Below are 13,821 nucleotides of genomic sequence, written 5' to 3' on the forward strand. Positions count from 1 at the left end.
GAAAATTGTCTCCTTTATTTTTTACAACTTAAATAGAAAATCAAAGCTCACAAAGGGTATGTAATATGCTCAAGGTAACACGGGTAGTAAGAGATGGAGCTAGGACATAGATTCATGTCTGTCTGGCCCCTAAGGCACCCTTCCCTAGCTCAATATTATGTTATAATGCTTCCCTGTATTCTGGCTGATTCTTCTTTTTGCTGAGTAATTCACCATCTGGTAGCTATCACACTCTGGTGTTAATTGGTGCTAATTTTCTGATAATGGCCAATGACTATACTTGGATTTTAAAGTGGAAAAAGCTATGATTAAGGTGTAATACATGTGAGGTTTAAAGTCACAACTTTCCCCACTTTACTGTGTGTGACTTTGAATAAGCTACTTAACCTCTATGAGCCTTAATTTCCTCGTTTGTAACATGAGGATAATACCCTTGTCACAAGAACTTTTGAGAGGATTAAGTAAATAATGTTGAAATGTTTTGTAAGTGGAAAAAACACTGTAAATGTGAAGCATTGATACTGAACAGTGTAAGGATTGGTATACACAGTAGTTTTCAGAACAAAGGTTCATCAGTGAAAGGGAGGCATGCTGCTTGTTGGAATAGAGACTGGAGATCTATTAGGTAAGTACTCCTTTAAAATTCTGGGAAGGTTTGTTTGTTTACTGCATCATATTCTGTTATTGGTCATATTCTGGGTCAGTTCTGGTTATTGCCGATTGGTGTTGATGATAACTGGTAATAATTTGCTGCAGGGGTGGGTGGGGAAAAGAGCAATTTTGCTTATTTAGAGTAAAAAGAGATCTAGAGAAACTCAGGAGACAATGGATAATTGATAGTTTTAATAGCTTACCAAATGGCCAGCCTACATCCAGAGCACTGTGTGGTTCAATATGAGACCCTCACTTTAAAAGGTTTATAGACATAAAGTGGTATGTGTATTATTTTTTCCCAGAACTGGGTCTTTTTCTAGATTTTCACCTGTTTGGTGCTTAGGTCAGTGCTTCCCACCAAGACAGCTTTGTAACAGTGATGCTTTTTCAATGTGGAAGTTTATACGGTGTGAAGAGACATTTTTTTACTTCCCCATTGGGCAAAAAGCTACATTCAGGGAAGAGCAGCTGATGGTTAGGAGACTCAAAACCATGTCACTTTGAAAAGACAATGGAAGAGAACTGAAAAGGCTTAGCTCAAGGGGAAAAGTCGTAGAGCTGTCAGGGTCTACTTCAGTAATTTGCAAACCTCACTGTCCATTAGAACCATACATTCCAAGTCTCTCCTCAAAGTTCTGATGTAGCAAGATTATAGTGGATTCTAGAATTTTCTTTTTAAAACTCTCCCATAATTCTTATGCTTGGTTCCCATGAGTCCAGGCGAAGGTTAAGGAAGCCCTGCCTTAGGGTGATGTCAGTAGTCATGCAACAAACACTACAAACAATAGGCATGGAGAGCTGAAAAGATTTATCAATTGTCTGAATGCGAGATTGGTGAAAAGCTATTCCTAAAGATTAATTTGATGTTTAAAACCTAGTTTGGAAAGGAAGATGATGAATTCAGTTTTGGAAGCCTGATAGATTTGAGATTTTAACATAAAATTTCAGGTATATCAGTCTTCCCCAAAGTGTGTTCCACTGAATATTTGTTTCATCAGACCATTACATCTACATAATGCTAGTCCCAGGACATGTTGATATTGTGTTCTGTGAAAAAAATGAGTGTCATTGGACTAGGAAAATAAAAGATGGCTCATTGGGAAACACCGAATTAAAATAAGTCAAATGGTTGCTTTATCATAAAACTCATGGAGCCTACAACACACTAATGTTCATTGTAGAGCTCCAGGAGTAATACATATGTAGCACTTTCAGAATTTTTTCACCACAGAAAATTTTTATAATTGACGAAATGTTGTGAAGCTAATGTTCCTGATAACACACGTAGGAAATGCTAAAGTAGATAAGGAAGATCTTTTTTTTATTATTATTATGCTTTAAGTTTTAGGGTACGTATGCACAACGTGCAGGTTTGTTACATATGTATACATGTGCCATGTTGGTGTGCTGCACCCAGTAACTCATCATTTAACATTAGGTATATCTCCTAATGCTATCCCTCCCCACTCACCCCACCCCACAACACGCCACGGTGTGTGATGTTCCCCTTCCTGTGTCCATGTGTTCTCATTGTTCAATTCCCACCTATGAGTGAGAACATGTGGTGTTTGGTTTTTTTGTCCTTGTGATAGTTTGCTGAGAATGATGGTTTCCAGCTTCATCCACGTCCCTACAAAGGACGTGAAATCATCATTTTTTATGGCTGCATGGTATTCCATGGTGTATATATGTGCCACATCTTGTTAATCCAGTCTATCATTGTTGGACATTTGGGTTGGTTCCAAGTCTTTGCTATTGTGAATAGTGCCACAGTAAACATATGTGTGCATGTGTCTTTATAGCAGCATGTTTTATAATCCTTTGGGTATATACCCAGTAATGGGATGGCTGGGTCAAATGGTATTTCTAGTTCTAGATCCCTGAGGAATCGCCACACTGACTTCCACAATGGTTGAACTAGTTTACAGTCCCACCAACAGTGTAAAAGTGTTCCTATTTCTCCACATCCTCTCCGGCACCTGTTGTTTCCTGACTTTTTAATGATTGCCATTCTAACTGGTGTGAGATGGTATCTCACTGTGGTTTTGATTTGCATTTCTCTGATGGCCAGTGATGGTGAGCATTTTTTCATGTGTTTTTTGGCTACATAAATGTCTCCTTTTGAGAAGTGTCTGTTCATATCCTTCACCCACTTTTTGATGGGGTTGTTTGTTTTTTTCTTGTAAATTTGTTTGAGTTCATTGTAGTTTCTGGATATTAGCCCTTTGTCAGATGAGTAGATTGCAAAAATTTTCTCCCATTCTGTAGGTTGACTGTTCACTCTGATGGTAGTTTCTTTTGCTGTGCAGAAGCTCTTTAGTTTAATTAGATCCCATTTGTCAATTTTGGCTTTTGTTGCCATTGCTTTTGGTGTTTTAGACACGAAGTCCTTGCCCATGCCTATGTCCTGAATGGTATTGCCTAGATTTTCTTCTAGGGTTTTTATGATTTTAGGTCTAACATTTAAGTCTTCAATCCATCTTGAATTAATTTTTGTATAAGGTGTAAGGAAGGGATCCAGTTTCAGCTTTCTACATATGGCTAGCCAGTTTTCCCAGCACCATTTATTAAATAGGGAATCCTTTCCCCATTTCTTGTTTTTGTCAGGTTTGTCAAAGATCAGATAGCTGTAGATATGCAGCATTATTTCTGAGGGCTCTGTTCTGTTCCATTGGTCTATATCTCTGTTTTGGTACCAGTGCCATGCTGTTTTGTTACTGTAGCCTTGCAGTATAGTTTGAAGTCAGATAGCATGATGCCTTCAGCTTTGTTCTTTTGGCTTAGGATTGCCTTGGCAATGTGGGCTCTGTTTTGGTTCCATATGAACTTTAAAGTAGTTTTTTCCAATTCTGTGAAGAAAGTCATTGGTAGCTTTATGGGGCTGGCATTGAATCTATAAATTACCTTGGGCAGTATGGGCATTTTCACGATATTGATTCTTCCTACCCATGAGCATGGAATGTTCTTCCATTTGTTTGTATCCTCTTTTATTTCATTGAGCAGTGGTTTGTAGTTCTCCTTGAAGAGATCCTTCACGTCCCTTGTAAGTTGGATTCCTAGGTATTTTATTCTCTTTGAAGCAATTGTGAATGGGAGTTCACTCATGATTTGGCTCTCTGTTTGTCTGTTATTGGTGTATTAGAATGCTTTTGATTTTTGCACACTGATTTTGTATCCTGAGACTTTGCTGAAGTTGCCTATCAGCTTAAGGAGATTTTGGGCTTAGATGATGGGGTTTTCTAGATATACAATCATGTCATCTGCAAACAGGGACAATTTGACTTCCTCTTTTCCTAGCTGAATACCCTCTATTTCTTTCTCCTGCCTAATTGCCCTGGCCAGAACTTCCAACACTATGTTGAATAGGAGTGGTGAGAGAGGGCATCCCTGTCTTGTGCCAGTTTTCAAAGGGAATGCTTCCAGTTTTTGCCCATTCAGTATGACATTGCCTGTGGGTTTGTCATAGATAACTCTTATTATTTGCAGATATGTCCCATCAGTACCTAATTTATTGAGAGTTTTTAGCACGAAGGTTGTTGAATTTTCTCAAAGGCCTTTTCTGCATCTATTGAGATAATCATGTGGTTTTTGTCGTTGGTTCTGTTTATATGCTGGATTACGTTTACTGATTTGCGTATGTTGAACCAGCCTTGTATCTCAGGGATGAAGCCCACTTGATCATGGTGGATAAGCTTTTTGATGTGCTGCTGGATTCGATTTGCCAGTATTTTACTGAGGATTTTTGCATCGATGTTCATTAGGGATATTGGTCTAAAATTCTCTTTTTTTGTTGTGTCTCTGCCAGGCTTTGGTATCAGGATGATGCTGGCCTCATAAAATGAGTTAGGGAGGATTCCCTCTTTTTCTGTTGATTGGAATAGTTTCAGAAGAAATGGTACCAGCTCCTCCTTGTACCTCTGGTAGAATTCGACTGTGAATCCCTCTGGTCCTGGACTTTTTTTGGTTGGTAAGCTATTAATTATTGCCTCAATTTCAGAGCATGTTATTGGTCTATTTGGAGATTCAACTTCTTCCTGGTTTAGTCTTGGGAGGGTGTATGTGTTGAGGAATTTATCCATTTCTTCTAGATTTTGTAGTTTATTTGCATAGAGGTGTTTATAGTATTCTCTGATGGTAGTTTGTATTTCTGTGGGATCGGTGGTGACATCCCCTTTATCATTTTTTTATTGCATCTATTTGATTCTTCTCTCTTTTCTTCTTTATTAGTCTTGCTAGCAGTCTATCAATTTTGTTGATCTTTTCAAAAAACCAGCTCCTGGATTCACTGATTTTTTGAAGGGTTTTTTGTGTCTCTATTTCCTTCAGTTCTGCTCTGATCTTAGTTATTTCTTGCCTTCTGCTAGCTTTTGAATGTGTTTGCTCTTGCTTCTCTAGTTCTTTTAATTGTGACGTTAGGGTGTCAATTTTAAATCCTTCCTGCTTTCTCTTGTGGGCATTTAGTGCTATAAATTTCCCCCTACACACGGCTTTCGATGTGTCCCAGAGATTCTGGTATGTTGTGTCTTTGTTCTCATTGGTTTCAAAGAACATCTTTATTTCTGCCTTCATTTCGTTATGTACCCAGTAGTCATTCAGGAGCAGGTTGTTCAGTTTCCATGTGGTTGTGCGGTTTTGAGTGAGTTTCTTTTCTTTTTTTATATACTTTAAGTTTTAGGGTACATGTGCACAATGTGCAGGTTAGTTACATATGTATACATGTGCCATGCTGGTGCGCTGCACCCACTAACTCGTCATCTAGCATTAGGTATATCTCCCAGTGCTATCCCTCCCCCTTCTCCCCACCCCACCACAGTCCCCAGAGTGTGATATTCCCCTTCCTGTGTCCATGTGATCTCATTGTTCAATTCCCACCTATGAGTGAGAATATGCAGTATTTGGTTTTTTGTTCTTGCGATAGTTTACTGAGAATGATGATTTCCAGTTTCATCCATGCCCCTACAAAGGACATGAACTCATCATTTTTTATGGCTGCATAGTATTCCATGGTGTATATGTGCCACATTTTCTTAATCCAGTCTATCATTGTTGGACATTTGGGTTGGTTCCAAGTCTTTGCTATTGTGAATAATGCCACAATAAACATACGTGTGCATGTGTCTTTATAGCAGCAAGATTTATAGTCCTTTGGGTATATACCCAGTAATGGGATGGCTGGGTCAAATGGTATTTCTAGTTCTAGATCCCTGAGGAATCGCCACACTGACTTCCACAATGGATGAACTAGTTTACAGTCCCACCAACAGTGTAAAAGTGTTCCTATTTCTCCACATCCTCTCCGGCACCTGTTGTTTCCTGACTTTTTAATGATTGCCATTCTAACTGGTGTGAGATGGTATCTCATTGTGGTTTTGATTTGCATTTCTCTGATGGCCAGTGATGGTGAGCATTTTTTCAAGTGTTTTTTGGCTGCATAAATGTCTTCTTTTGAGAAGTGTCTGTTCATGTCCTTCACCCACTTTTTGATGGGGTTGTTTGTTTTTTTCTTGTAAATTTGTTTGAGTTCATTGTAGATTCTGGATATTAGCCCTTTGTCAGATAAGTAGGTTGCAAAAATTTTCTCCCGTTTTGTAGGTTGACTGTTCACTCTGATGGTAGTTTCTTTTGCTGTGCAGAAGCTCTTTAGTTTAATTAGATCCCATTTGTCAATTTTGTCTTTTGTTGCCATTGCTTTTGGTGTTTTGGACATGACGTCCTTGCCCATGCCTATGTCCTGAATGGTGATGCCTAGGTTTTCTTCTAGGGTTTTTATGGTTTTAGGTCTAACATTTAAGTCTTTAATCCATCTTGAATTGATTTTTGTATAAGGTGTAAGGAAGGGATCCAGTTTCAGCTATCTACATATGGCTAGCCAGTTTTCCCAGCACCATTTATTAAATAGGGAATCCTTTCCCCATTGCTTGTTTTTCTCAGGTTTGTCAAAGATCAGATAGTTGTAGATATGCGGCGTTATTTCTGAGGGCTCTGTTCTGTTCCATTGATCTATATCTCTGTTTTGGTACCAGTACCATGCTGTTTTGGTTACTGTAGCCTTGCAGTATAGTTTGAAGTCAGGTAGTGTGATGCCTCCAGCTTTGCCAAAATGTAAAGACCATCGAGACTAGGAAGAAACTGCATCAACTAACGAGCAAAATCACCAGCTAACATCATAATGACAGGATCAAATTCACACGTAACAATATTAACTTTAAATGTAAATGGACTAAATGCTCCAATGAAAAGACACAGACTGGCAAATTGGATAAAGAGTCAAGACCCATCAGTGTGCTGTATTCAGGAAACCCATCTCACGTGCAGAGACACACATAGGCTCAAAATTAAAGGATGGAGGAAGATCTACCAAGCAAATGGAAAACAAAAAAAGGCAGGGGTTGCAATCCTAGTCTCTGATAAAACAGACTTTAAACCAACAAAGATCAAAAGAGACAAAGAAGGCCATTACATAATGGTAAAGGGATCAATTCAACAAGAAGAGCTAACTATCCTAAATATATATGCACCCAATACAGGAGCACCCAGATTCATAAAGCAAGTCCTGAGTGACCTACAAAGAGACTTAGACTCCCACACATTAATAATGGGAGACTTTAACACCCCGCTGTCAACATTAGACAGATCAACGAGACAGAAAGTCAACAAGGATACCCAGGAATTGAACTCAGCTCTGCACCAAGCGGACCTAATAGACATCTACAGAACTCTCCACCCCAAATCAACAGAATATACATTTTTTTCAGCACCACACCACGCCTATTCCAAAATTGACCACATAGTTGGAAGTAAAGCTCTCCTCAGCAAATGTAAAAGGACAGAAATTATAACAAACTATCTCTCAGACCACAGTGCGATCAAACTAGAGCTCAGGATTAAGAATCTCACTCAAAACCACTCAACTACATGGAAACTGAACAACCTGCTCCTGAATGACTACTGGATACATAACGAAATGAAGGCAGAAATAAAGATGTTCTTTGAAACCAACGAGAACAAAGACACAACATACCAGAATCTCTGGGACACATTCAAAGAAGTGTGTAGAGGGAAATTTATAGCACTAAATGCCCACAAGAGAAAGCAGGAAAGATCCAAAATTGACACCCTAACATCACAATTAAAAGAACTAGAAAAGCAAGAGCAAACACATTCAAAAGCTAGCAGAAGGCAAGAAATAACTAAAATCAGAGCAGAACTGAAGGAAATAGAGACACAAAAAACCCTTCAAAAAATTAATGAATCCAGGAGCTGGTTTTTTGAAGGGATCAACAAAATTGATAGACTGCTAGCAAGACTAATAAAGAAAAAAAGAGAGAAGAATCAAATAGACACAATAAAAAATGATAAAGGGGATATCACCACTGATCCCACAGAAATACAAACTACCATCAGAGAATACTACAAACACCTCTATGCAAATAAACTAGAAAATCTAGAAGAAATGGATAAATTCCTCGACACATACACTCTCCCAAGACTAAACCAGGAAGAAGTTGAATCTCTGAATAGACCAATAATAGGAGCTGAAATTGTGGCAATAATCGATAGTTTACCAACCAAAAAGAGTCCAGGACCACATGGATTCACAGCCGAATTCTATCAGAGGTACAAGGAGGAACTGGTACCATTCCTTCTGAAACTATTCCAATCTATAGAAAAAGAGGGAATCGTCCCTAACTCATTTTATGAGGCCAGCATCATTCTGATACCAAAGCCGGACAGAGACACAACCAAAAAAGAGAATTTTAGACCAATATCCTTGATGAACATTGATGCAAAAATCCTCAATAAAATACTGGCAAAACGAATCCAGCAGCACATCAAAAAGCTTATCCACCATGATCAAGTGGGCTTCATCCCTGAGATGCAAGGCTGGTTCAATATATGCAAATCAATAAATGTAATCCAGCATATAAACAGAGCCAACGACAAAAACCACATAATTATCTCAATAGATGCAGAAAAAGCCTTTGACAAAATTCAACAACCCTTCATGCTAAAAACTCTCAGTAAATTAGGTATTGATGGGACGTATTTCAAAATAATAAGAGCTATCTATGAGAAACCCACAGCCAATATCATACTGAATGGGCAAAAACTGGAAGCATTCCCTTTGAAAACTGGCACAAGACAGGGATGCCCTCTCTCACCACTCCTATTCAACATAGTGTTGGAAGTTCTGGCCAGGGCAATTAGGCAGGAGAAGGAAATAAAGGGTATTCAATTAGGAAAAGAAGAAGTCAAATTGTCCCTGTTTGCAGACGACATGATTGTATATCTAGAAAACCCCATTGTCTCAGCCCAAAATCTCCTTAAGCTGATAGGCAACTTCAGCAAAGTCTCAGGATACAAAATCAATGTACAAAAATCACAAGCATTCTTATACACCAATAACAGACAAACAGAGAGCCAAATTATGAGTGAACTCCCATTCACAATTGCTTCAAAGAGAATAAAATACCTAGGAATCCAACTTACAAGGGATGTGAAGGACCTCTTCAAGGAGAACTACAAACCACTGCTCAATGAAATAAAAGAGGATACAAACAAATGGAAGAACATTCCATGCTCATGGATAGGAAGAATCAATATCGTGAAAATGGCCATACTGCCCAAGGTAATTTACAGATTCAATGCCATCCCCATAAAGCTACCAATGACTTTCTTCACAGAATTGGAAAAAACTACTTTAAAGTTCATATGGAACCAAAAAAAAAGCCCGCATCGCCAAGGCAATCCTAAGCCAAAAGAACAAAGCTTTAGTGATTTTCTTAATCCTGAGTTCTAGTTTGATCGCACTGTGTTCTGAGAGACAGTTTGTTATAATTTCTATTCTTTTACATTTGGTGAGGAGTGCTTTGCTTCCAACTATGTGGTCAGTTTTGGAATAGGCGTGGTGTGGTGCTGAAAGGAATGTATATTCTGTTGATTTGGGGTGGAAAGTTCTGCAGATGTCCATTAGGTCCACCTGTTGCAGAGCTGAGTTCAGTTCCTGGATATCCTTGTTAACTTTCTATCTCGTTGATCTGTCTAATGTTGACAGTGGGGTGTTAAAGTCTCCCATTATTATTGTGTGGGAGTCTAAGTCTCTTTGTAGGTCTCTAAAGACTTGCTTTATGAATCTGGGTGCTCCTGTATTGGGTGCATATATATTTAGGATAGTTAGCTCTTCTTGTTGAATTGATCCCTTTACCATTATGTAATGGCCTTCTTTGTCCCTTTTGATATTTGTTGGTTTAAAGTCTGTTTTATCAGAGACTAGGATTGCAACCCCTGCCTTTTTTTGTTTTCCATTTGCTTGGTAGATCTTCCTCCATCCCTTTATTTTGAGCCTATGTGTGTCTCTGCATGTGAGATGGGTTTCCTGAATACAGCACCCTGATGGGTCTTGACTCTTTATCCAATTTGCCAGTCTGTGTCTTTTCATTGGAGCATTTAGCCCATTTACATTTAAAGTTAATGTTATTATGTGTGAATTTGATCCTGTCATTATGATGTTAGCTGGTGATTTTGCTCGTTAGTTGATGCAGTTTCTTCTTAGCCTCGATGGTCTTCACAATTTGGCATGTTTTTGCAGCGGCTGGTACTGGTTGTTCCTTTTCATGTTTAGTGCTTCCTTCAGGAGCTCTTTTAGGGCAGGCCTGGTGGTGACAAAATCTCTCAGCATTTGCTTGTCTGTAAAGGATTTTATTTCTCCTTCACTTATGAAGCTTAGTTTGGCTGGATATGAAATTCTGGGTTGAAAATTCTTTTCTTTAGGAATGTTGAATATTGGCCCCCACTCTCTTCTGGCTTGTAGAGTTTCTGCCGAGAGATCAGCTGTTAGTCTGATGGGCTTCCCTTTGTGGGTAACCCGACCTTTCTCTCTGGCTGCCCTTGACATTTTTTCCTTCATTTCAACTTTGGTGAATCTGACAATTATGTGTCTTGGAGTTGCTCTTCTCGAAGAGTATCTTTGTGGCATTCTCTGTATTTCCTGAATCTGAATGTTGGCGTGCCCTGCTAGATTGGGGAAGTTCTCCTGGATAATATCCTGCAGAGTGTTTTCCAACTTGGTTCCATTCTTCCCGTCACTTTCAGGTACACCAATCAGACGTAGATTTGGTCTTTTCACAGTCCCTTATTTCTTGGAGGCTTTGTTCGTTTCTTTTTATTCTTTTTTCTCTAAACTTCTCTTCTTGCTTCATTTCATTCATTTGATCTTCCATCACTGATAACCCTTTCTTCCAGTTGATCGAATCGGCTACTGAGGCTTGTGCATTCGTCACGTAGTTCTCTTGCCATGGTTTTCAGCTCCATCAGGTCCTTTAAGGACTTCTCGGCATTGGTTATTCTATTTAGCCATTCGTTTAATTTTTTTTTAAGAAAGATCTTTAAGTTTACTACAAAGGCCAAAGGTAGATGTATAGGTTTCATGGAAGGAATGAATAAGGCAGTGAAATGCTGCAGAGACTCACAAGAATAAGAACCAGTCATTTGAGTTGGCAATATTAGAAAATTTAGAAAAGGCAATTTTAGTGGAAGTAGTAGTGAAAGTAAGATTTTGAAGATGTTAGGATACAATCTCATGTTTTCAAACCACAAGCTGAAATGGAGACAATGTGTTAAAATATTTAAAATTGGAATTATCCCAGAAAACGTAGTCATTATAGTTATGCTACTATAGTTAAAGTAGGAGTGGTAAAGCTAACTCCTTATAATAGGAGGGGAAGTAGATTCATGGAAAGATTTTAATTTTTTGGATAAACTGAAAAAAGGTGTAAAGAGAGATGCATATAAGGTGCTAGAAATGAGGGAAAGAGGTTAAAGAACATGTAGGATAAACTTTAGAAAAGGAGATTAATTTTTCTCCTTCTGGGGGATAGGAAATTTTTTAGATGAATAATTGTGTTAGATTTTTTTAGATTAATAATTGTCAATCTATGAGATTAGTTTTCAGTATTCCGTTTTTTGGATTAGCTAGTTTCTTAGCTTGTGTATTAGTGTCAAGTATGCTTGCCTAGAGTAGGAGTTCAATACATGGCTGTTCTCATTAGTGGTGCTGTTATTTTCTCTATTTGAACATGTTACTGCTTCTTACCACCACCAGTGAGTAGACAAAAGAGAGTCCATTAAGGTCAAACCAGATAACTAACTCTATTTGGTTTATCAGTACTGCATTTCATAATCATAAGTTGGCTGGCCATGATTCCTTCTGCTGTTTATATTTCATCTTCATTATCTTGCATTGTACTTGAAACAACCTATACTTTTGTTCATTCATGTCTTGATTTGTTTTTCAGTGGTCATTCTAGTTGCAATTTTTTTTATTCTAAGGAAACTTGCTTTATGCCGCTGGAGATTTGCACATTTTACTTCTATGTACTCACTTAAGTACATAGTGTTAATGGCAGTCGCATGACTCATAGTCTGCATAAGCATAAATTAACTCCAGTACCTCTGTAGTATGCCCCTTTGAGATTGCTCTGGAAGACCACCCAGAAGTCTGAATTTACACAGACTGCAAAGACCCATTGAACTTAAGAAAACCCAGCAGCACTGACTGACCAAATATACCTGCATCTTTCAGTATGAACGAGCTATCCATTTGCTCTTGATTGAGGTTCAAACTGTGGATCTTAAACTATAAAGGGCTTTATGGGCTGAATTATGGATACTTTAAGCAAGACCTCTTCCTTCAAATAGAGTGCTTTGCACATAGTGAGCACTCCATAAATGCTCTTGACTGACTATGACTTAATGAATGTTTAGACCTTCCAGTGAACTTCTTTTCATGCTTTCCAGATTTGAAGGAAGGGTTCTTGATATTGAATATTTGTCTTTCTTATTAGTTTTGCTTGGGGGCTTACTATAGTGTAATTTTACTGACCACAGAAAATTTATCTTTTTAGTGATGAATTATTTTAGGTGGTCTGTTGGCCCTGCCTGAGTAATCAATGGAATCTAAGGTTTTATAATTTGATTCATGTGTTCAGAGATAATAGCTGAAAAATAAAATAATAGTTTTAATAAGTTCACCAAGAAAGTAGCAAATGTATTATTTTTTGCCTCGGGGCTGGGTCTTTTTCTGATGGATTTTTCACTTGTTTGGTTCTTAGTTCATTGCTTCTCACAAAGACAACTTTATAACAGTGCTGCTTAAAAACTTTTCAATGTGAAAGTTTATACAATGTGAGGGGACTTTTTTAAAAAAAATTTATTCCCATAGGTTATTGAGGAACTGGTGGTATTTGGTTACATGAGTAAGTTCTTTAGTGGTGATTTGTGGGATTTTGGTGAGGGGACATATTTTACTTCCTCATTAGGCAAAAAGTTACTTTGGAAATTACTAATATAAACAAATTGGAGTAATTAGAAAGATAGAATGTTCTATTTTAAATAGGTGAGATTTTCTTAGCTTTAAAAGAACATTCAGGTTAGTGGTTCTCAGGATTAGCTAGAGAACTTAAAAGTATAGATTTCCAAATTCTTCAATTGTGCTTTTCAAAAGGTTAATGTAATTCAGATAATAATACATGTTCTTGAATTATTGATTTGGGCCCAGGGAACAAGTGGTTTAGTACAGATTTTCTGTCCCCAAGTTAAGTCAAGAAACATTTTATACTATCTCTTTTCAAGGCAGTTATATACTATTCTATTATAAAGTAGGCTTTTAGTATCCTTATGATTTTTTTAAAAACAAGAAAATTATATGAATCTAATATCCTGTGTCGGACCATGCAGCTTGAAGTTTTCTTATTGATCCTAGTAGCTCACGAGAATAAACCAGGAATAAGGAACAAATTGAAGTGGCAAATGACTCCAAAGGAACAAAACTTACTCTTCCTTCATTTCTTCCCCATATACTAAATGAAGGTACTACTCATTATCCACCCAGTTACCGGAGCAAAAAGCCTAGCAGTCATCTTTAATTATTCTTTCCCTCACCTCCCATATCTAGTCTACCAATGCATTTTGCTCCACCTCCACGCACCTTCAAAATATATCCTGAGTCTGACTCCTCTTCATATCCATTGCTCCTGCTCTAGTCTAAGCCACCATCATCTTTATCCGCTTTGACCTGAACTATTATAAGCCTGTCTTCTTTGGCTTTTTAAAAAATCGACTTCATTTTTTAGAACAGTTTTCTATTTACAGAAAAATTGAGATAGTTCA

The 13,821-nt window shown here is 37.9% G+C and overlaps 1 protein-coding gene across 8 annotated transcripts in view; it reads left to right on the plus strand.

Annotated features, from left to right (window-relative positions):
- Positions 1 to 13,821, plus strand: part of MSRB3 (methionine sulfoxide reductase B3) — a 188,225-nt gene that overhangs the window by 64,928 nt on the left and 109,476 nt on the right. The gene's annotated exons all lie outside the window — the stretch shown is intronic.

The sequence above is a fragment of the Homo sapiens genome, chromosome 12 (genome assembly GCF_000001405.40).
Source record: "Homo sapiens chromosome 12, GRCh38.p14 Primary Assembly".
Lineage (NCBI taxonomy): Eukaryota > Metazoa > Chordata > Mammalia > Primates > Hominidae > Homo > Homo sapiens.